The sequence below is a fragment of the Homo sapiens genome, chromosome 9 (genome assembly GCF_000001405.40).
Source record: "Homo sapiens chromosome 9, GRCh38.p14 Primary Assembly".
In the NCBI taxonomy this organism is placed as follows: domain Eukaryota; kingdom Metazoa; phylum Chordata; class Mammalia; order Primates; family Hominidae; genus Homo; species Homo sapiens.
In genome coordinates, this window is record NC_000009.12 from 128452378 (window position 1) to 128473557 (window position 21180).

The 21180-nt window shown below is 50.3% G+C and overlaps 1 protein-coding gene and 1 long non-coding RNA gene across 24 annotated transcripts in view, besides 12 other annotated features; one reads left to right on the forward strand and one right to left on the reverse strand.

Moving 5' to 3' along the window:
- Positions 2702-3438: an enhancer, noted in NCBI's record as "H3K4me1 hESC enhancer chr9:131217358-131218094 (GRCh37/hg19 assembly coordinates)". NCBI's record gives its function as "activates a minimal SCP1, AML or CMV promoter by ChIP-STARR-seq in primed H9 embryonic stem cells {active_cell/tissue: H9 hESC(primed)}" and the evidence as "EXISTENCE:reporter gene assay evidence [ECO:0000049][PMID:30033119]".
- The window catches only part of ODF2 (outer dense fiber of sperm tails 2), a 46108-nt gene continuing 27735 nt past the window's right edge, over positions 2808-21180 (forward strand). For 2 of the 23 annotated variants that reach the window (NM_001351580.2, NM_001351585.2), the window contains exons 1-8: positions 3775-3878; positions 4821-5060; positions 7190-7280; positions 8136-8289; positions 8565-8690; positions 16806-16976; positions 18931-19091; positions 20536-20665. In NM_001351580.2, coding sequence (NP_001338509.1) covers positions 8182-8289; positions 8565-8690; positions 16806-16976; positions 18931-19091; positions 20536-20665 — 696 coding nt within the window. In that variant the 5' untranslated portion in view covers positions 3775-3878; positions 4821-5060; positions 7190-7280; positions 8136-8181. 23 annotated transcript variants of the gene reach the window in all.
- Positions 3312-3401: an enhancer, noted in NCBI's record as "active region_29082". NCBI's record gives its function as "activates an Ori minimal core promoter by ATAC-STARR-seq in GM12878 lymphoblastoid cells {active_cell/tissue: GM12878}" and the evidence as "EXISTENCE:reporter gene assay evidence [ECO:0000049][PMID:35858748]".
- Positions 3439-4174: an enhancer, noted in NCBI's record as "H3K27ac-H3K4me1 hESC enhancer chr9:131218095-131218830 (GRCh37/hg19 assembly coordinates)". NCBI's record gives its function as "activates a minimal SCP1, AML or CMV promoter by ChIP-STARR-seq in primed H9 embryonic stem cells {active_cell/tissue: H9 hESC(primed)}" and the evidence as "EXISTENCE:reporter gene assay evidence [ECO:0000049][PMID:30033119]".
- Positions 3532-3581: an enhancer, noted in NCBI's record as "active region_29083". NCBI's record gives its function as "activates an Ori minimal core promoter by ATAC-STARR-seq in GM12878 lymphoblastoid cells {active_cell/tissue: GM12878}" and the evidence as "EXISTENCE:reporter gene assay evidence [ECO:0000049][PMID:35858748]".
- Positions 3802-4111: a silencer, noted in NCBI's record as "silent region_20340". NCBI's record gives its function as "represses an Ori minimal core promoter by ATAC-STARR-seq in GM12878 lymphoblastoid cells {active_cell/tissue: GM12878}" and the evidence as "EXISTENCE:reporter gene assay evidence [ECO:0000049][PMID:35858748]".
- Positions 4175-4910: an enhancer, noted in NCBI's record as "H3K27ac-H3K4me1 hESC enhancer chr9:131218831-131219566 (GRCh37/hg19 assembly coordinates)". NCBI's record gives its function as "activates a minimal SCP1, AML or CMV promoter by ChIP-STARR-seq in primed H9 embryonic stem cells {active_cell/tissue: H9 hESC(primed)}" and the evidence as "EXISTENCE:reporter gene assay evidence [ECO:0000049][PMID:30033119]".
- Positions 4242-4341: a silencer, noted in NCBI's record as "silent region_20341". NCBI's record gives its function as "represses an Ori minimal core promoter by ATAC-STARR-seq in GM12878 lymphoblastoid cells {active_cell/tissue: GM12878}" and the evidence as "EXISTENCE:reporter gene assay evidence [ECO:0000049][PMID:35858748]".
- Positions 4372-4521: a silencer, noted in NCBI's record as "silent region_20342". NCBI's record gives its function as "represses an Ori minimal core promoter by ATAC-STARR-seq in GM12878 lymphoblastoid cells {active_cell/tissue: GM12878}" and the evidence as "EXISTENCE:reporter gene assay evidence [ECO:0000049][PMID:35858748]".
- Positions 4732-4781: a silencer, noted in NCBI's record as "silent region_20343". NCBI's record gives its function as "represses an Ori minimal core promoter by ATAC-STARR-seq in GM12878 lymphoblastoid cells {active_cell/tissue: GM12878}" and the evidence as "EXISTENCE:reporter gene assay evidence [ECO:0000049][PMID:35858748]".
- Positions 4911-5646: an enhancer, noted in NCBI's record as "OCT4-NANOG-H3K4me1 hESC enhancer chr9:131219567-131220302 (GRCh37/hg19 assembly coordinates)". NCBI's record gives its function as "activates a minimal SCP1, AML or CMV promoter by ChIP-STARR-seq in naive H9 embryonic stem cells {active_cell/tissue: H9 hESC(naive)}" and the evidence as "EXISTENCE:reporter gene assay evidence [ECO:0000049][PMID:30033119]".
- Positions 16548-20635, reverse strand: ODF2-AS1 (ODF2 antisense RNA 1). The gene is made up of 2 exons (NR_170291.1): positions 20556-20635; positions 16548-16906 (listed from the first exon to the last, which is right to left on the reverse strand). It is a non-coding gene; the product is annotated as an ODF2 antisense RNA 1 (long non-coding RNA).
- Positions 20033-20534: an enhancer, noted in NCBI's record as "H3K4me1 hESC enhancer chr9:131234689-131235190 (GRCh37/hg19 assembly coordinates)". NCBI's record gives its function as "activates a minimal SCP1, AML or CMV promoter by ChIP-STARR-seq in naive H9 embryonic stem cells {active_cell/tissue: H9 hESC(naive)}" and the evidence as "EXISTENCE:reporter gene assay evidence [ECO:0000049][PMID:30033119]".
- Positions 20535-21034: an enhancer, noted in NCBI's record as "H3K4me1 hESC enhancer chr9:131235191-131235690 (GRCh37/hg19 assembly coordinates)". NCBI's record gives its function as "activates a minimal SCP1, AML or CMV promoter by ChIP-STARR-seq in naive H9 embryonic stem cells {active_cell/tissue: H9 hESC(naive)}" and the evidence as "EXISTENCE:reporter gene assay evidence [ECO:0000049][PMID:30033119]".

The window sequence follows — 21180 nt, forward strand, 5'->3', positions numbered from 1 at the left end:
ATCTCATACAAGTTTATATTACAACCAGGTGCAGTGGCTTGTCCTTGTAATCCCAGCTACTTGGGAGACTGATGCACCTCCTCGGGAGGTGGGAGAATCACTTGAGACCAGGAGTTAGAGACCAGCCTGGGAAACATAGTGAGACGGTCTCAAAAAAAAAAAAAAAAAATTAGTCGGGCTTGGTGACCCGCACCAGCAGTCTTAGCTACTCAAGAGGCTGAGGAGGGAGGATCGTTGGAGCTCAGGAGCTTGAGGTTGCAGTGAGCTGTAATCATGCCACTGCACTCTAGCCTGGGTATATTACATATAATATGTATGTATAAAAATGTGTATATTTATTTATGTTTATTTATTTATGTTTATTTTTTGAGATAGAGTCTCACTATTTCACCCAGGCTTGAGTACAGTGGCACAATCACGGCTCACTGCAGTCTTGAACTCCCAGGCTCAAGTGACCCTCCCACCTCAGCCTCCTAAGTAGCTGGAACTACAGGCATGTGCCACCATGCCCGGCTAACTTTTAAAAATGTTTTGTAGAGATGGTGTCCCCTATGTCGCCCAGGCTGGTTTGAAACTCCAGGTTTCAAGCAATCCTCCCACCTCAGCCTCCAAAAGTGCTGAGATTACAGGCATGAGCCACCATGCCCGGTGATTTTTTTTTTTTTTTTTTTTTTTGAGATGGAGTCTCACTGTGTCGTCCAGACTGGAGTGCAGTGGCGGGATCCCTGCTCACTGCAACCTCTGCCTTCCGGGTTAGCGCAGTTCTCCTGTCTCAGCCTCCCGAGTAGCTGGGATTACAGGTGCCCGCCACCATGCCTGGCTAATTTTTTTGTATTTTTAGTAGAGATGGGGTTTCGCCCATTGGCCAGGCTGGTCTGGAACTCCTGACCTCAAGTCATCTGCCTGCCTCGGCCTCCCAAAGTGCTGGGATTACAGACGTGAGACACCGTGCCCAGCCCCCCGCCTTTTTTTTTTTTAAGAGATTGGGCCTCCCCATGTTGCTCAGGCTGCTCTCAAACTCCTGAGCTCAGGTAATCCTCCCACCTCAGTCTCCCAAAGTGCTGGGATTACAGGCATGAGCCACCACGTCTGCCACCCCTGACCCCCAAATTTTGTTTACAGTTAATATTGCAAAGGCCTCCTCTCTCTACATGCTTTCTTGTCTTTCCAATCCATGCTCCACATTTTTGGAGATGGAGTCTCGCTCTATCCTCCAGGGTGGAGTGCAGTGTTGCAATCTTGGCTCATGGCAACCTCTGCCTTCCAGGTTCATGCAATTCTCATGCCTCAGCCTCCTGAGTAGCTGGGATTACAGGCATGCACCACCACGCCCGGATAATTTTTGTATTTTTAGTAGAGATGAGGTTTCCACATGTCTGCCAGGCTGGTCTGGAACTCCTGACCTCAGGTGATCTGCCTGCCTCAACCTCTCAAAGTGCTGGTATTACAGGCTTGAGCCACTTTGCGCTTGGCCACTATTTTTTTTTTTTTTTTTTGAGATGGCGTCGCGCTCTGTCGCCCAGGCTGGAGTGCAGTGGTGCAATCTTGGCTCACTGTAACCTCTACCTCCTGGGTTTAAGTGATTCTCCTGCCTCAGCCTCCTGAGTAGCTGGGACTATAGTCGCCGGCTGCCACGCCCAGCTAATTTTTGTACTTTTAGTAGAGACGGGGTTTCACCACGTTGGCCAGGCTGGTCTCAAATTCTTGACCTCAAGTGATCAACCTGCCTCGGCCTCCCAAAGTGCTGGGATTACAGGTGTGAGCCACAGCGCCCAGCCTAGAGTGAAATACTGAAAACCCTCTCATGGTTTTCCAGGCTTCTGAGGGATGAAGTCCAACACCTTAGGCTGGCCTATCAGACGCTGCATAGTCTGGTCCTGCTGACTTTGGCAGGATTTCTCTCATCGCTGGCCCTGTAACACTTCAAGGGACTGCAGTGATGATGCTTCATAGAATATGCAGTATTCTCTTGTACCTGCATGTGGTACCTGTGTACCTACTGCAGTCTGTTTAGAATTCCCTTTGCTGCTTGTTTGGCGAACTTCCACTCACCTTTCATGGCTCAGTTCCAATACCATCACCTCTGGGAACCATCTCCTGCCTGCCCCAGGAGGACCGGGACCTCCTTTTCCTGTCCTCTTTTCCTTGAACCTGTATATACTTTTTTTTTTTTTTTTTTTTTTTTGAGACAAGAGTCTCACTCTGTCACCCAGGCTGAAGTGTAGTGGTGATTTTGGCTCACTGCAACCTCCGCCTTCCAGGTTCAAGGAATTCTCCCTGCCTCCTCCTCCCTAGTAGCTGGGATTACAGGCACACACCACCATGCCCGGTTAATTTTTGTATTTTTAGTAGAGACGGGGTTTCGCTATGTTGGGCAGTCTGGTCTTGAACTTCTGACCTTAGGTGATCCGCCTGCCTCAGCCTCCCAAAGTGCTGGGACTACAGGCGTGAGCCACCGCAGTCTTAAATGGTTAATGAGGATTAGGAAATCTATCAATTATTCAACAGAGAGACAATGAATGGATCAAGGGATTGGGGAGCTCCCTGACATTACAGAACAAATTCAGTATGCAGTATACTGTGAAAGCGAGGCGGAAAAGCAGGTTTTGTTTGCGAGTCTGACTTTAGGATTGCAGGTGAAACACTTGTGTGACCCTGGAGCTGTGTGGCTAAGGTGCTGCGGGGTCACTGGAGAAAGGTCAAGGGACTGTGGCCCAGTTGGCCCGGAGGTGGTTCAGGTCTCCCAGATTCCAGGGCGGCATTATGAGCCACGTGACAGACCTCCCCTGACTGGCTGACAGTGAAGCATAATTGAGAAGATGGCGGACCAGCAAGGACCTCATCAGAATAGGTCTGTACACAGAGCGGCATAGAGAGTGCAGGAGGGTAGTAGACCGGGCGCGGAGGCTCAAGCCTGTAATACAAGCACTTTGGAAGGCCGAGGCGGGTGGATCATGAGGTCAGGAGATGGAGACTATCCTGCCCAACACGGTGAAACCCCGTCTCTACTAAAAATACAAAAAAAAATTAGCCGGGCGTTGTGGCGGGCGCCAGTAGTCCCAGTTACTCGGGAGGCTCAGGCAGGAGAATGGCGTGAACCCGGGAGGCGGAGGTTGCGGTGAGCCGAGATCGCGCCACTGCACTCCAGCCTGGGCAACAGAGCAAGAATCTGTCTCAAAAAAAAAAAAAAAAAAAAAAAAAAAAAAAAAAAAAAAAGTGCAGGAAGGTAGTGAACAGAACAGCAAGGGGAATGCCGACCCTTTCTCCTGTTGGGGCCAAGACAGAGGCGATGTGGGCAGGGGAGAGGCCGGGGAATGCGCAGAAGCCGACTCCATCTCCGCATTAATAGTGGACTAGGGGCAGGGCTGGATTTTCGGAGGCAGTGTGCAGCTCCCAATAACTAGTTCCATGGGTCCTCTGTGAGCCTAGTTTCCTGGTGGGTACCGAGGGGAGGGCGTCGGAACCGTACGCTCCTTTGAGTGAGGGGAATCCGGGAGGATCCAAGGCAGGGGAAACAGGGCCGAGCGGGAAAGGCCTTGAATGGGGGGCGAGACCCGGCCAGGCCCGCTGGACGCGTAGCACGTCTCCTTGGTGACGGGACGCGTGGCCCGGAAGTGGGCGGCCCTTCTGGCGGGGCGGGGCATCTCTGTGACGCTAGGGGCTGGGCCTCGATGGCGAAACCCAAGCGGCTCCCGGGGGGGTTTGAACTGGCCAATGGGCGAGCTGCCGACCGGGTGTCGGAAAAGGAGGCGGAAGCGGGGAGGAGCCGCTGCCAGAGCCAGACTGCATCCGCCGCGGCGTCTCCATGGCACGACCCTGGCCTCCGACTTCAACGACTTCATAAGGCGGCGTTTCTGGGCGCAGCCGTGTCGCTCCTGGTGAGAGGCCGCCGGCAGGCGGGATCCAGCGCCCTCCGGGGCACCGCGGGCGAGACCGTCGCCTTCGCACCCCCGGCGCGGTCGACCCCGCGGGGCCGTCGGGTCCTGGGTTCCCCGCCGCGTTGCGCTCGTCCCCCTCCTGTCAGAACCTGGGCCCCCGCCCCGCCCACCGGCGCGGGGCCTCTCCTCCTCCCGCTAACGGGCGGTCGGCCGCCTCCTTCCTCTCTTGGCTACCACGGGGCTCTGCCCCTCCTCTGCCGCCCGCGGGCAGGGCTTCACCTTTCTCTCTATGGGCAGAAACCGGTACCCTCCTGCCTGCTGGTGGGTGGCCGTCCCTTCTCTCCGCCGACAGAGGCTCTCCCTCGCTCTGCTGCCCGTCGGCGGCATCGCCCCGACCGCCTCGTCCTCTCCTCGGGCCTCCACATGGCAGTCACTTGTACGCCCTCCGTAGGCAGCGCTGTCCCCCGGGCACCGTCTCCGGCTTGCCAGGGCCCTCGCCCGGCGGGGGGGGGTCCCGCCCGCCCCCTCCCAGCCCGGCGTCTATCCTGCTCAGAACTCTGTTCGGTTTTCCCTCGCGGCGGGGCGCCCGGGGCCCGTGCAACCTCCGCGCCTCCCTCCTTTAAACACTATTGGTCCTCTCGGGCATCTGTTCTTCCGTAACGCCCCTTCTCCTAGGAGACAGTTGTCCGGCCCCGCCCCAGCATCCCCGCGGCTCCCTGCGCGGTTCTGGCCCTCTGGGGCCCACTTGGGGCCGAGCGGTTCTCACCCGCCCTCTCCGCACGTCCGCCGGCGCCTCAGGTTTCCCCCGGTAGCCACCGGCAGTCCTCCGCGTGGGACCCGGGCGCGGTGGTCCTTTCCCTCGCGGTTCTGCCCCGTCCCCTCCCCTTCCTCCCCTCTGCCCCCAGGTCGCTCAGCCTCTACTATTTCCCCCTACTTTGGCAGGACAGTTGCTGTGCGACTTGGACAGTAGAGGAGCGCCTCCCAAGTTTTCATCCAACTGCCAACCCCAAAGCTTCCACCCTTCTCCCCTCAGAGAGGACGTTTGATGCCGGGCCCCTTGAGAGGCTCATTGACAAGCCTGCCCCTCTGGGTCCCCCTGAGCAGAGCCTGCTGACCCAATTGCCCACCTTTGCGGCTTTGATGCCTAGCCATGTCTGCCTCATCCTCAGGCGGCTCCCCCAGGTATTGCCGATGTGGGAGGCGCCTGCGCCGGAGGGCAGGGAAAGGTGGCCAGGGGTCCCCAGGGCAGGCTCGCCTGAGGCTTCCAGCTTCCTCATTGTGTTTGCTGAAAGTCTGGACCAAAACGTTTAAAAATCGTTTTTAAAGGGAAGGGGGAACGAAATGTATACACAATCCTAGCTCTACCTCCCTCGCTCCTTCCCTCCCCAGATGTCACAGCTTCCTGGAAGCAAACAGGGTCACTCTTGTTGTCTTTATATAATAGAGTACTAGGTTCAGAGCCTTTTTGAAGGGAGTCGAGGTGTAAATAAATAACACGTAGGAGGTGGATGTGGCAGTTAGCAAGATAATGGAATCCAGGTGGTTTGACAAGAAACCCACTGAGAGATTTCCCAAAGCTATTGGCTTTACGTGAACAATGTTCTAAATGATTAGGGAAAAAAGCCTGTCTTCTCAGTTTTGGTATTCCTTGGCTAAAGGATCAGTAGAGGTCTATATATATATATATATTTTTTTTTTTTCCCCTCTTTTTAAAATCACGATGTAATACATATACAGCAAAACGCATACCAAAGTGCTCAAGTATTTTTTTCCTTGCATTTTGATGTTGCATTATTTTCCCCAAGTGTTTGTAAAGAGGGCAAGATGATAATTTTGGACCTCCCTGTCTCTGCCCCACCCTCCCTGCCACCCCCTGGTCGCTCCAGCCTCTCTGATCTCCCCCCACTTTGGGGGGCCAGGTGCGGTGGCTCATGCCTGTGCAATCCTAGCACTTTGAGAGGCCAAGGTGGGTGGATCACCTGAGGTCAGGAGTTTGAGACCAGCCTGACCAACATGGTGAAACCCCGTCTTTACTAGAAACATAAAAAATTAGCTGGGCATGGTGGCACACGCCTGTAATCCCAGCTACTCAGGAGCCTGGGGCAGGAGAATTGGAGAATTGCTTGAAGCCAGGAGGCAGAGGTTGCAGTAAGCCAAGATTGGGCCACTGCACTCCAGCCTGGGCGACAGAGCGAGACTCTATCTCAAAAAAAAAAAAAAAAAAAAGGCCAGGAGATGGATCAGATGGTTATTCCAAGGCCCTTCCCATCCTGGACTTTTTGGATATACTGCTGAAAGATTTTGGAGCAAATAGACTTTTGCTCTCTCTCTTTTTTTTTTTTTTATTTGGCTGTCTTTGCAGATCTGGTGATGGAGCTGTACAGTATATGTGTAAGCAAGGTGAATTAGACATGGCATTAAAAAAAAATCCCCTGCTGCTTGAGAGCTTAAAGGATAGCAAGTGGAATATTTTGGGAACTAGATACTTTTTTATTCTCTTAGGGGAATATTTGAGCCTTAATTTGATGAGTGTGCGTCACAGTGACCTCTCGTGCCTGAGCCTAATGCTCTTTGAAAAAATTTTTTTTTCTTTTTTGTTGTTGTTTTGAAACGGGGTCTCCCTCTGCCACCTAGGCTGGAGTGCAGTGGCGTGGTTACGGCTCACTGCAGCCTCCACCTCCCAGGCTTAATTGATTCTCCCACCTCAGCCTCCCGAGTAGCTGGGACTACAGACACACGCCACCACGCCAAGCTAATTTTTGTATGTTTTGTAGAGATGGGGTCTTGCCATGTTGCCCAGGCTGGTCTCAAACTCCTGGGCTCAAGCAATCTGCCTGCCTTGGCCTCCAAAAGTGCTGGGATTACAGGCATGAGACATGGCTTGTGGCCACTAATGCTCTATTTTTGTCACTCACTCACTGCATCTTTCTCCAGGGCCGCCTCTGCTCCAGGCACTGTCCTGGGTGCTTCTACCCTTGGCCAAACCAGCACATTGGCTTCTGTTCATGTGCTGCTTGCTTTTTGTCATCTGACAGGATGTCAGCTAGGCTTTTCAGCAAGGGTCATAATACATGTGATGTGACGATATGTTAAAAGTCCAGCCTGCAAATGCCTGTCACCCTATTTCCATCCCACTGCTGGGCACACCACGCACATCTGGTGCTCATCTCAGGGGAGTCAAGGAATTCCAGGCTGGTTTTCCTAGCCATGAACATGTTAGCTACCGTAGTCAGTGTGTAATTTCATGAGATCTGAAATATAAGATTGCCCTAGTTTTCTGCTTACAATCTGGTTCTTGTGCCTGGGTGCAGGTTTCCATCGTGTGGGAAGAACGGAGTAACGAGTCTCACGCAGAAAAAGGTCTTGAGAGCACCTTGTGGCGCACCCAGTGTAACTGTGACGGTAGGTGATGCACTCACGTAGCAGCCCTCTTTGGTCACCTTGCTAAAAATGCTTTTGCACACCGTTTCTAGGAGGTGCCTTACCCTGCTGGGCACCATCGCCGCCCAGTTGCTCTGCTAGGTGCTGTTATACATACTCTGCTGATTTTTAATTATGATCATCATTTTTGCCTGTGGTGAGGCTGCCGGGTGTGAGGAAATTGTCTTAGACTTATTCTTCCAGCCAAATCCTAAAATCTTGAGATTTTTAAAATAAAGGAAAAGAAAAAGAAGAGAAAAAAAAAGTTTAAAGAATGAGGGGAAGGATAAGAGCTGGTGGTGGTTGAGGGGTTTGTAGCTGTGGTTCTGCCTTGCTCATGTTTTCTTTAGAATCTAGACAGCCTTCTCATCCTTAGGATTTCCTTCAGCTTTCTGTTTTCCTGTTCTTTGATCTGCCTGCTCTCTGATTTATTCTGCACCCTGAGCATTTTGTGTGTTTCCCACGCCAATCTGCATGCCCAGTTGAGATCACTGTGTAGAAGGATCCGCCTGCTTTCCGCTGTGCTTCACTAAATCCAAGGAGGAGCTGTGCATTCCAGCAGGTTTAGAGGAGATCCAGCCCTAAGAACCCTGGGGCCGGCGTCTGGGATCTGTTCTGGAACGGGTGGGTCTTGCAGACCCTCTCTTGAGTGGACCAGAATCTCCCTTGTGGTCTTCTGCTGGGATCTCTGCAGGAGCCTGCTGAATGATACTCCCGCCTTACTCCCTGCCTGCATGCCAGTAGTTGGTAGCTGTCCTGCTCGCTTGGTGGCTAGGCTTTTTGGTGGCCCCCAGAGGCTGTGAGCTCTGTTTTTATGCCCAGTTTACTCATCCACAGATCAACCATTTTTGTGTTGTCCTCCCCCACCTGCCAGAAGCCAACCATGAAGGACCGCTCTTCAACTCCCCCCTTACATGTTCACGTGGATGAGAACACCCCTGTCCACGTCCACATAAAAAAACTCCCGAAACCATCAGCGACCAGCAGCCAGGTAGGAGCATGCCAGTGGGGCGAGGTAGTAGCTGTGGATCTGGGTGATCCTGCTAAGCCCAGCCTCCTCGCACTCTGACTCCAAAGGTTTGGGAGACAAACACACTCTTTCGGAGGCCGGTTTCCTGGTTAGAAGGTAGGCAGGCCTGTCATCCAGGAGCAACAGCAGTAACATTAGTCAGAAGAGGCACTCTGCTAGTCGGAGAGGGATGTCACTAGCGTGGCACCGTGGCCAGCTGGGTGTGGAAGTGACCCTGGGTTTGTCCCTTTCCACAGAAATCTCACAAGCGAGGAATGAAAGGGGACACTGTGAATGTGCGGCGGAGTGTCCGGGTGAAAACCAAGGTACCTTGGATGCCCCCTGGAAAATCATCTGCCCGGCCTGTGGGATGCAAGTGGGAGGTAGGCTCACCCTTGCCCAGGCTTTTCTTCTCGGACTGCTCAGATCCTAGCAGGCCTCAGCCTCGGTATGATTCAGGGTCAGCTATAGCTACTGGAATGTCCTAACAGACCCCATTTACTGAGGGCCTTGCTAAACCCTGAAACTATGTGAATCTTCTTGAGTTCTTATGATACTGCTGTGTGGGAAGTCCTGCTGTCCAAAGGCAGAGATGAGGAACCAGACCTCAGAGAGAAGTGATTTTCCCAGAGTCACAGAGAAGTTAGCAGAGCTGGAGTTAAGATTCATTCTAGAGGCAGTACTCTTAGCCTCTCTGCTTTGCTTGTGAGGAGCCACATCACATGTATTTTCTTTTCTTTTCTTTTCTTTTTGAGACAGAGCCTTGCTCTGTCGCCCAGGCTGGAGTGCAGTGGCATGATCTTGGCTCATTGCAACCTCTGCCTCCCAGGTTCAAGTGATTCTCCAGCCTCAGCCTCCCTAGTAGCTGGGACTACAGGCGCCCGCCACCACTTACGTCTGATTTTTAAATTTTTAGTAGAGATGGGGTTTCATCGTGTTGGCCAGGCTGGTCTCGAACTCCTGACCTCAGGTGATCCGCCCGCCTCGGCCTCCCAAGGTGTTGGGATTACAGGCGTGAGCCACCACAGCCAGCCTATTTTTCTTATAGTTTATTACATTAGAAATCTTTCATACCAGCAGTGAAAAGAAAAAAAAATAGAAATGAAAAACAAAAGTAACTCCTTGAAGTTTATAGTCATACCTCATAAAACTATGTCAAAACTGACTCCTTGATTTACCAGACAAAGGAGACTCCTTTCCCTTAGAGACAAAGGGAGTATGGGGCTTTCTTAGGATTAAATGGAAACTGCTCTGACCAGTACAATAAATTAAAAGGATTGAAATTAGACTGCTGCCTTACATTTTTTACTACATATACTTCACTAATAATCAGTGAAATGTAAATTAAAAGCCACAGTATATTTTTTTTAAAACAAAAACAATGAGCTTTTTTCTTGAATGGAAAAAGTTTAAAAAATGACAACTATCTCCTGCCAGCAAGCATATGGGATATCAATGAATCTTTTTTTTTTTTTTCCGAAATGGAGTTTCGCTCTTGTTGCCCTTGCCCAGGCTGGAGTGCAGTGGCGCGATCTTGGCTCACCACAACCTCCGCCTCCTGGGTCAAGCGATTCTCCTGCCTCAGCCTGCTGAGTAGCTAGGATTACAGGCATGCACCACCATCCCGGCTAGTTTTGTATTTTTAGTAGAGATAGGGTTTGTCCATGTTGGTCAGGCTGGTCTCGAACTCCCGACCTCAGGTGATCAGCCCACCTCAGCCTCCCAAAGTGCTGGGATTACAGGTGTGAGCCACCACACCCGGCCCGAATCTTTTAAAACGTTTTTTATAGGACTGTGAACCTGATTCAGCTGTTCTGGAGTCAGTTTGGCAGGACTTGTCTAAACATTGATTCTGTAATTTTTCGTCTAGGAAGTTGTCCTAAAAACATCATAGAAGAGTACAGGGATTTTGTTTTTTTGTTTTTTTTTTTTTGAGACGGAGTCTCGCTCTGTCACCCAGGCTGGAGTGCAGTGGTGCAATCTCGGCCCACTGCAAGCTCCGCCTCCCGGGTTCACACCATTCTTCTGCCTCAGCCTCCCGAGTAGCTGGGACTATAAGTGCCCGCCACCATGCCCGGCTAATTTTTTATGGTAGAGACGGGGTTTCACCGTGTTAGCCAGGATGGTCTCGATCTCCTGACCTCATGATCCGCCTACCTCAGCCTCCCAAAGTGCTGGGATTACAAGTACAGGGATTTTTTGTAGATTTTTTGCTGTAGCATTGTTTGTAACAGAAAAATTGGAAGCAACCTAAATGTCCATCAGGAGAGTGTTGGTTAAATTATAATACATCTGGCTGGGCGTGGTGGGCTCACACCTGTAATCCCAACACTTTTAGGAGGCCCAGGAGGGAGGATCGCTTGGGCCCAGGAGTTTGAGATCAGCCTGGGCAACATAGTGAGATCCTATCTCTACAAAAAATAGAAAACTAGTTGGGTGTGGTGGCATGCGCTTGTAATTCCAGCTACTCAGAAGGCTGAGGTGGGAGGATCACTTGAGCCAGGGAGGTTAAGGCTGCAGTGAGCCATGATCATGCCACTGCATAGCCTGTGTGACACAGTGAGACCCTGTCTCAAACAAAACAAAACAAAAGAGAAATATGATACATCCATACAATGGAATACCATGCAGCCTTGCAAAGACTGAGGTAGAGGCTGGTTGCCGTGGCTTATACCTGTGATCCCAGCACTTTGGGAGGCCAAAGCAGGAGGATCACTTGAGCCCAGGAGTTCAAGACCAGCCTGGGCAACACGACGAGACCCTGCCTCTACAAAAGATAAAAAATTAGCTGGGTGCAGTGGTACGCACTTGTAGTCCTACTTACTTGGAGGGGAGGTTGAGATTTCAGTAAGCTGTGATTATGTCACTGCACTGCAGCCTGGATTACAGAAAAGGACCCTGTCTCAAAAACAAAAAGATTGAGACAGATATTTATGCATGATAATGAAGCATGGAGATGCACAACATATAACATTTGGCCGGCCCTATTTGTGCAGAAAATGGGCGTCTGTGTCCATGTATAAACGCATATGTTTGTATGTGCAGAACGTTTTCTGGGAGAATATGTTTATATCTACAGAACGTTTTCTAGGAGAATATGCAAGTAGTGGTAAGCAGTGATTGCCTCTGAGGTATGGCAAGGTTTAATGCTTTATTTTTATTTATTTATTTACTTTTTGAGAAAGAGTCTCGTTTTGTCACCCAGGCTGGAGTGCAGTGACGCAATCTCGGCTCACTGCAACCTCCACCTCCTGGGTACAAGCGATTCTCCTGCCTCAGCTTCCCGAGTAGCTGGGATTACAGGCACGCACCACCACACCTGGCTAATTTTTGTATTTTTAGTAGAGACGGGGTTTTGCTATGTTGGCCAGGCTGGTCTCGAACTCCTGACCTCAAGTAACCCGCCCACCTCAGCCTCCCAAAGTGCTGGGATAACAGGTGTGAGCCACCACCACGCACAGCCAAAAATGCCTTTTTTTTTTTTTTTTTGAGACGGAGTCTCGCTCTGTCATCCAGTCTGGAGTGCAATGGTGCAATCTCGGCTCACTACAACCTCCATTTCCCAGGTTCAAGCAATTCTTCTGCCTCAGCCTCCCGAGTAACTGGGACTACAGGCGTGCACCACCACGCCTGGCTAATTTTTGTATTTTTAATAGAGACGGGGTTTCACCATATTGGCCAGGCTGGTCTCGAACTCTTGACCTCGTGATCCGCCCGCCTTGGCCTCCCAAAGTGCTGGGATTACAGGCGTGAGCCACTGTGCCCAGCCCAAAAATGCCTTTTAAAAAAATAAAAAGCCTTGGTAGTTTGGGTTTTTTTGTTTTTGTTTTTTTGAGACGGAGTCTTGTTCTGTTGCCCAGGCTAGAGTTCAGTGGCATGATCTCGGCTCACTGCAACCTCCACCTCCCAGGTTCAAGTGATTCTCCTGCCTCAGCCTCTGAGTTAGCTGGGACTCAGGCATGCACCACCACACCCAGCTAGTTTTTGTATTTTTTTTTTTTTTTTTTTTTTTTTTTTTTTTTTTTGAGACGGAGTCTCGCTCTGTCGCCCAGGCTGGAGTGCAGTGGCGGGATCTCGGCTCACTGCAAGCTCCGCCTCCCGGGTTCACGCCATTCTCCTGCCTCAGCCTCCCAAGTAGCTGGGACTACAGGCGCCCGCCACTACGCCCGGCTAATTTTTTTTGTATTTTTAGTAGAGACGGGGTTTCACCGTTTTAGCCGGGATGGTCTTGAACTCCTGACCTCAAGTGATCTGCTCGCCTTGGCCTCCCAAAGTGCTGGTATTACAGGCGTGAGCCACTGTGCCTGGCCTCCTTGGTAGTTTTCAAAGTACACATCACAGAGATGCTGCTATGAAAAATTTTCCTGTTGACATGGGTTGCTAGGGGTAATAATCCCCTCTGAAAAGCATAATGCCACTTCCAGCCCCATTGCCAAATCCTAGAGGTGGAAGGTCCCAGAGAGGTGGCCTGCCCAGGTTCTCTCAGCACCTGAAACAGTAGCTGTCTTTTCTGCTTTCATTCTTGTGTCTGCCCCTTTCCACTTGCCAGTGGCTTCCTGTGGCCCTGAGAGGCCCTAACTCAACCCTGTCCTTCATGGACGGAAGGGGAACAGCCCCTGGAGGTGGAAGTTTGAGGAAGATATGGAAATGAAGACCAAAAGCTGCTGTATGCATGTGGGGTTCTTGTTTGATATCTTACAACTCCTGGAATATAAGATCAGCTTTGGGAGAAAGAAGGTCTAGGTTTTTTTCTTGCCTCTATTACTAAAAGTGATCAGCCGGGCGCGGTGGCTCACGCCTGTAATCTCAGCACTTTGGGAGGCCAAGGCAGGCGGATCATGAGGTCAAGAGATTGAGACCATCCTGGCCAACGTGGTGAAACCCCATCTCAACTAAAAATACAAAAATTAGCTGGGCATGGTGGCACGCTCCTGTAGGCCCAGCCATTTGGGAGGCTGAGGCAGGAGAATTGCTTGAACCCTGGAGGCGGAGGTTGCAGTGAGCTGAGATTGCACCACTGCACTCCAGCCTGGCGACAGAGCGAGACTCCGTCTCAAAAAAAAAAAAAAAAGTGATCTATTTTTATTTAGGGAAATTTGAAAATACAGAAAAATAATCAGCTACTCAATTCTGGCTGCTATTAAGTTTCAAAATTTCTTGTTGAAAAGTACAGGCCCAGGAGCAATGGCTCACTCCTGTAATCCCAGCACTTTGGGAGGCCGAGGCAGGCAAATCAACTGAGATCAGGAGTTTGAGACCAGCCTAGCCAACATGGCGAAACCCCGTCTCTACTAAAAATACAAAAATTACCCTGGCGTGGTGGTCGCGCCACCAATATCAGCTACACAGAAGGCTGAGGCAAGAGAATTGCTTAAGCCCATGAGGCGGAGGTTGCAGGGAGCCAAGATCGCGCCCCTGCACTGCAGCCTGGGCAACAAAGCGAGTCTCCATCTCAAAAAAAAAACAAAAAAAACGGAAAAGAAAAACGAAAAGAGGACTGGCCGGGCCTGGTGTCTCACGCCTGTAATCCCAGCACTTTGGGAGGCTAAGGCAGGCGGTTCACCTGAGCTCAGGAGTTGGAGACCAGCTTGGACAATGTGACGAAACCGTATCTCTACCAAAAATACAAAAAATTAGCCCAGTGTGGTGGTGTGCACTTGTGGTCCCAGCTACTTGGGAGGCTGAGGTGTAAGGATGGGTTGAGCCTGGGAGGCAGAGGTTGCAGTGAACCAAAGTTGTGCTACTGCACTCCAGGCTGCTTGACAGAGTGAGACCCCATCTCAAAAAAAAAAAAAATGGAAAAGTGCAGGGATGTACACCCATCAGAAGTGTATTGCTCCATGAATTTTCACAAGCTGAAGGTACCTGTGTAACGATCACCCAGCATCCTAGAAGCTGCCCCTGGCTTTTGTCTATGTCACTCCCTCCCCATCACAAGGAGTAAGTAGTCACACTTTCCCATATATATATATATATATATATTTGTCATTTTAAAAAATATATAGTCATGTGGCCGGGCGTGGTGGCTCACGCCTGTAATCCCAACACTTTGGGAGGCCGAGGCGGGCGGATCACAAGGTCAGGAGATCGAGACCATCCTGGCTAACACAGTGAAACTCCGTCTCTACTAAAAGTACAAAAAATTAGCCGGGCATGGTGGCGGGCACCTGTAGTCTCAGCTACTCGGGAGGCTGAGGCAGGAGAATGGCGTGAACCTGGGAGGCGGAGCTTGCAGTGAGCCGAGATTGCACCACTGCACTCCAGCCTGGGTGACAGAGCGAGACTCCATCTCAATTAAAAAAAAAAAAAAAAAAAAAAAAAAAAAAAAAAATATATATATATATATATATATATATATATATATATATATATAGTCATATATCAATTAACAATGGGGATATATTCTGAGAAACATGTTGTTAGGCACTTTCATCATTGTGCAAACATCATGGAGTGTACTTACACAAACCGAGATTGGTAAAGCCTGCTACACACCTGGGCTGTATGGTATAGCCTATTGCTCCTAGGCTACAGACCTCTACAGCATGATGCCGTACAGAATACTGTAGGCAACTAACACAATGGTAAGTATTTGCATATTGAAACATAGTAAATATAGAAAAGGTACGGTAAAAATACGGTGTTTTGGGACCACTGTCATATATGCAGTCCATTGCTGACTGAAATGTTACGTGGCACATGACTGTTTATACATTTTCCTATTTTTGTCATTTTAAGTATTAAAAGTAACTTCTTTTCTTCTAAAAGTAATATACATACCTGGATGTGGTGGCTCATACCTGAAATCCCAGCACTTTGGGAGGCCAAGACGGGCTTATCACCTGAGGTCAGGAGTTCGAGACCAGCCTGGCCAACATGGTGAAACCCCACCTCTACTAAAAATACAAAAATCAGCTGGGCATGGTGGTAGGTGCCTGTTATCCCAGCTAGTCGGGAGGCTGAGGCAGGAGAATTGCTTGAACCTGGGAGGCGGAGGTTGCAGTGAGCCGAGATGGCACTACTGCACTCCAGCCTAGGCGATGGAGTGAGACCCTGTCTCAAAAAAAAAAAAAAAAAAGCAAAGTGTTTACAGCTTTGCATAAAGTTTCCTGAAGCATATATGCATTTTAAAATATTTAAAAAAATATTTAAAAAGCTGAGACTACAGGCACCTGCTACCACGCCCGGCTAATTTTTTTGTATTTTTAGTAGACACGGGGTTTCAGTGTCTCGATCTCCTGACCTCGTGATCCGCCCGCCTTGGCCTCCCAAAGTGCTGGGATTACAGGCATGAGCCACCGCTCCTGGCCCTAAAATATTTTTTATACTGACGTATTTAAAAAGTATTGTATTTTTTTAATACAATACTTTCCAGGTATTGTACCATGTGCATTTATAATATTTTTCTACATCATCAAAATAACTGATTACTCCTAAGAGCATTTCTTAATATCATACAATATCTGGTCCTTTTTCCAATTTACCCACTTGTTTCTACAATACCTTTTCAGCAGATTCATCTACCTTTGTAACTAATCCACTATCAGCTATTCATATTCATTTAAAAGACTTTTGACATATTTCATTTCTACCCTAGGTATAAAAAAATGTACTGCCCTAAACTTTTGCCAACTTTGGGTATTATTAATGTTTTTGCTGATTTGTTATATTATTTCTTTATGAGTATTGTTATTTTTAGAGACAGGGTTTCGCTCTGTCACCCAGGCTGGCATGCAGTGGTGCTATCATAGCTCACTGCAGCCTTGAACTCCTGGACTCAAGGAATCCCCTGCCTCAGCCTCCTGATTAGTTGAGATCACAGGCATGTGCCACTACACCCACCTGATTTTTTTTTTTAGAAGGAGTTTCGTTCTGTTGCCCAGGCTGGAGTGCAATGGCGCAATCTTGGCTCACTGCAACCTCTACCTCCCGGGTTCAAGCGATCCTCCAGCCTTAGCCTCCTGAATAGCTGAGATTACAGGCATGCACCACCATGTCCAGCTAAGTTTGTGTTTTTAGTAGAGACGGGGTTTCACCGTGTTGGTCAGGCTGGTCTCAAACTCCTGACCTCTGGTCATCCACCCGCCTCAGCCTCCCAAAGCGCTGGGATTGCAGATGTGAGCCACCATGCCCAGCGCTAGCTAATTCTTTTACTTTTATAGAGACAAGGTCTCGCTATGTTGCTGAGGCTGGTTTTGGCTTCCCGCCTCGGCCTCCCAATATACTGGTTTTACAGGGTATCCAGCCTATGTTCTTTATTTTAAACTTAACATTGTAGCCCAAGCTTTTAATTTTGATGTTGGGAATTCTCCAAAACCATCATTTAAACATGGATAGGTAATGTTCCATCACAAGGGTTCAGAGTATGTTCTTCCTGGGGTCCCCGAGTTAGCTGTTACAGCTTTTCCCGTCTAATCAGTAAATAAGCCTCCAGTGGTGGAACTCGTGGTCAAGGTTCTGCCTTCTGAGTTCATGTGTTTCTCCCTCCTCTACATCAGAATCCACCTCATTGCCTGGAGATCACGCCACCATCTTCAGAAAAGCTGGTCTCAGTGATGCGGTTAAGTGACCTCTCTACAGAAGATGATGACTCAGGTCACTGTAAAATGAACCGTTATGATAAGAAGATTGATAGTCTAATGAATGCGGTTGGTTGTCTGAAGTCTGAGGTGAGGGAGGTAGGGGGCTGGGATAGCTACTACCCTGAGGATGTGCAGGAGCACCCAGGTGGATTTCCTGCCTGGTCCCTCAGCCTGCGTCTGCAGGCCTTCAGGCCTCCTCTGCAGGGTTGCCCCGGGCTTCAGTTGCCTGCCCCGGGAGGTAGCTGGGGCAGCATGGGATCCCATCCCACCAACAAGGGCCCTCTCTATTGAGCATGTAGCTGTCCTGGTGCTCCACATGGGTGGTCCAATTTGAATTTTTACAACAGCATGTGAAGCCAGTGGTGTTACTGTCCTCATTACAGAGATGAAATACCTAGGAAACTAGGGCCTATGCCTTCCGCTTTATATAAGGTTTAACAAAAACAGGCCGGGCATGGTGGCTCACGCCTGTAATCCCAGCACTTTGGGAGGCGGATCCCCTGAGGTCAGGAGTTCGAGACCAGCCTGACCAACACGGTGAAACCCTGTCTCTACTAAAAAACAAAAATTAGCCATGCGTGGTGGCGTGCACCTGTAGTCTCAGCTGCTCAGGAGGCTGAGGTGGTAGAATTGCTTGAACCCAGGAGCCAGAGGTTGCAGTGAGCTGAGATTGTGCCATTGCACTGTAGCCTGGGCGACAGAGAGAGTCTCTGTCTCAAAAAAAAAAAAAAAAAAAAAAAAAAAAAAAAAAAATATATATATATATATATATATATATATAAATAAAAAAATTAACAAAAACAAAGCCCCAAAGAGGCCAAGGAAGTTTGTCCTCAGTTGCCGTGCTCTCTCTTGGGGTGGGATGTGACAATGGAATTGGAAATAGAACCTGGAAGTCCAAGGTCCCCAACTAGGAAATTGGCAGAGTTGTCATTAAAATCCAGGCCTTAGACTTGGATTGCTATGTCAGCCTATGTCTTCACTGCTAACACGACCTGTGTCTTTAATCCTCCACCCTGTACTCGAGGTCCAGGGAACCTCCTGGAGAACCTAGGGCTGGCTGCCTAGAATAGGCCCTTCTTGGCCAGGCGTGGTGGCTCATGCCTATAATCCTAGCACTTTGGGAGACTGAGGAGGGCAGATCACTTGAGGTCAGGAGTTCAAGACCAGCCTGGCCAACATGGTGAAACCCCATCTCTACTAAAAATACAAAAATTTGCCAGGCACACGCCTGTAATCCCGGCTACTTGGGAGGCTGAGGCAGAAGAATCACTTGAACCCAGGAGGCAGAGGTTGCAGTGAGCTGAGATCGTACCGCTGCACTCCAGCCTGGATGACAGAGTGAGACCCTGTTTCAAAAGAAAAAAAAAAAAAGCCCTTCTTCCCCTATAACTCAAAGTGCAAGAGCCTTTTTGTGACATCTCTCCTCCTATGGTGTGCCAGCCAAACCACGGTTTGCAACCTGGCTTCGTTCCCAACCCACAAGTCACTGGGGCTCTCTGTACTGAGTTTCCTCATCTACAAAAAGAAAATCAGCATCTCCCAGGAGAGTCAGTCTTCATGGCAGTTAACTGAGATTGCACCCATAAGGCCCTGGCATGCAGCCTGTGTAGTTCTCAATTGGAAGGCTCCTTATTTTTTTGTTTTTGTTTTTTTTTTTTTGAGATGGAGTCTCACTCTTGTCCGCCCAGGCTGGAGTGCAGTGGGCACGATCTCGGCTCACTGCAACCTCTGGCTCCTGGGTTCAGGCGACTCTCTTGCTTCAGCTTCCAGAGTAGCTGGGATCACAGGCATGTGCCACCACATCTGGCTAATTTTTGTATTTTCAGTAGAGATGGGGTTTCACCATGTTGGTCAGGCTGGTCTCGAACTCCTGACCAAAAGTGACCTACCCACCTTGGCCTCCCAAAGTGCTGGGATTACAGGCGTGAGCCACCACGCCCGGCCGGGGCCTTATTTTGGTCCAAAGCATTGAGCCTAGCAATGTGGCATAGAGGAAGGACCTCCCTTCAGTGGCCCCTGCCTGGGTCCCCCTGCTCAGGTCAAGATGCAAAAAGGTGAGCGCCAGATGGCCAAAAGGTTCCTGGAGGAACGGAAGGAAGAGCTGGAGGAGGTGGCCCACGAACTGGCTGAGACTGAGCACGAGAACACGGTGTTGAGGCACAACATCGAGCGCATGAAGGAGGAGAAGGACTTCACCATGTAAGGTGGCTCCTGCTCTGTCCCCGCTGATCTATTCCTCCCTACCAGGCTGCCTTGAGCCCTGGGCAATAATGGAAAGCAACGTAGGAGGTGGGCACAGGCACTGTGCCTGTGCCCTGGAGCCTGTTCAACAGTCACACAATTAATTACAGTTAATTACCTGGTTGTGCTTATGATTTGTACTATGAGGGAAAGGGAGGACCCCGTGGATTGTGGTGTGGGACTGGGTAGCAGGGAACTGTTTCTGGAACAAGTGATATTTAAGGGGTGTCCTGCAGGATGGTTAAGCATTCGGCAGGTGGGTGCTAGGGAAGAAAGCACGCTACTCAGTGGGAACATCTTATGCGAAGGCCCCAAGGTGGGAAAGTGTTTGTAGCTGAGAAATGGAAGGCAGGCCAGAGTGGGTGGGCAGAGGATAAGGGGGCCACATAGGTTGGCAGGGGGCTGGCTCTCAGCAGCCACTTTGAGGCATTTGCATTGAGGGCATTTGGAAGCCATGGAAAGGATTTATTTTATTTAATTAATTTATTTGGCCGGGCGTGGTGGCTCACGCCTGTAATCCCAGCCCTTTGGGAGCCAAGGCGGGCAAATCACAAGGTCAGGAGTTCGAGACCAGCCTGGCCAACATGGTGAAACCCTGTCTCTACTAAAAATACAAAAATTAAGCCGGGCGTCGCGGCGGGCGCCTATAATCCTAGCTACTCTGGAGGCTGAGGCAGGAGAACTGCTTGATCCTGGGAGGCATCTCAAAATTTTTGAGATGGAGTCTCGCTCTGTCATCCAGGCTGGAGTGCAGTGGCGTGATCCTGGCTCACTGCAATGTCCGCCTCCTTGACTAAAGTAATCCTCCTGCCTCAGCCTCCCAAGTAACTGGAATTACAGGTGCCCACTACCATGCCCGGCTAACTTTTGTATTTTTAGTAGAGATGGGGTTTTAGCTGTTGGCCAGGCTGCTCTCGATAACACCTGATCTCAAGTGATCTGCCCACCTCGGCTTCCCAAAGTGCTGGGATTACAGGCTTTAGCCACTGTATCCAGCCTACAGCCATGGAAGTTTTAAAAGCAGGGAGGTGGCCTGACTAGCCTTGGCTGCAGTGTAGAGAAGAGGTAGAAGGGCTCAAAATCGTATCTGAAGATGGTGCGTAGGAGGGCGTGACAGTGGAGGGGGGCAGTGCAGAGATGACAATGGTGGCTGTTTGAGAGAAACAGGGCCACAGGTAGCTAATGTCTCCTGGTGTGGAGGCCCTGGTCTGGTGCCCAGGCAGATGTAACTTCTGGCCCTGGTCCTTTCTGAAGGCCACCCAGGCCAGAAGGGCTGTCCCTGCCCCCTCCCCTACTTTTCCCTGACCAGAGGTGAGCCCCCTAGGGCATTGTGAGGCAAGCCTTGGATCTCTGGGCATGCGGGGGCCTGGGAGGGCTCACAGAGCCGTCTTTCTGGCCCCAGACTTCAGAAGAAACACCTACAACAGGAGAAGGAGTGCCTCATGTCCAAGCTGGTGGAGGCGGAAATGGATGGGGCTGCGGCTGCCAAGCAGGTCATGGCCTTGAAGGATACCATCGGGAAGCTGAAAACAGTAGGTGGCAGGTGGCAGGACCCCAGCCATGGAACTGGCCTCGGGAGGGGGCAGCTGCAGGCTGGGCAGGGTCTTTACGCGTCATCAGGCAGACTTTATGACATCTTCAGGCTGGGGGAGAGCACGCTTAACTAGGCCCCCACCCACCACTCTCACTTCCCAATCCTTGACCCTTGAAGATGACCTCTGGTCACCAGGGCCTCTGAGGAGACCTCATCATGGGTCTCCTGGGATCACAGTGAGTCAAGGCATGTGGTTGATTCCTGCAAGTATCAGCCACCAGGTCTTGTCATCCTCCTTTGCTTCCTCCAGGAAGTCTGCCCTGACTGTGCTCACCCACACTGAGCCTTCCCACCCCTTTCTCCACCTTTGCTCGGAGCAGACTTAGCTCCTGCTTGTCCCTTTAGGTCCACCGCTTCCAGGAAACCTGCCCTTGATCACCTTGGCACTGTACACAGCCTGGTTCTCCTTGTCTGGGCTTTCTGGCACCAGACCTCTTGAGTGCCCATGGGGCC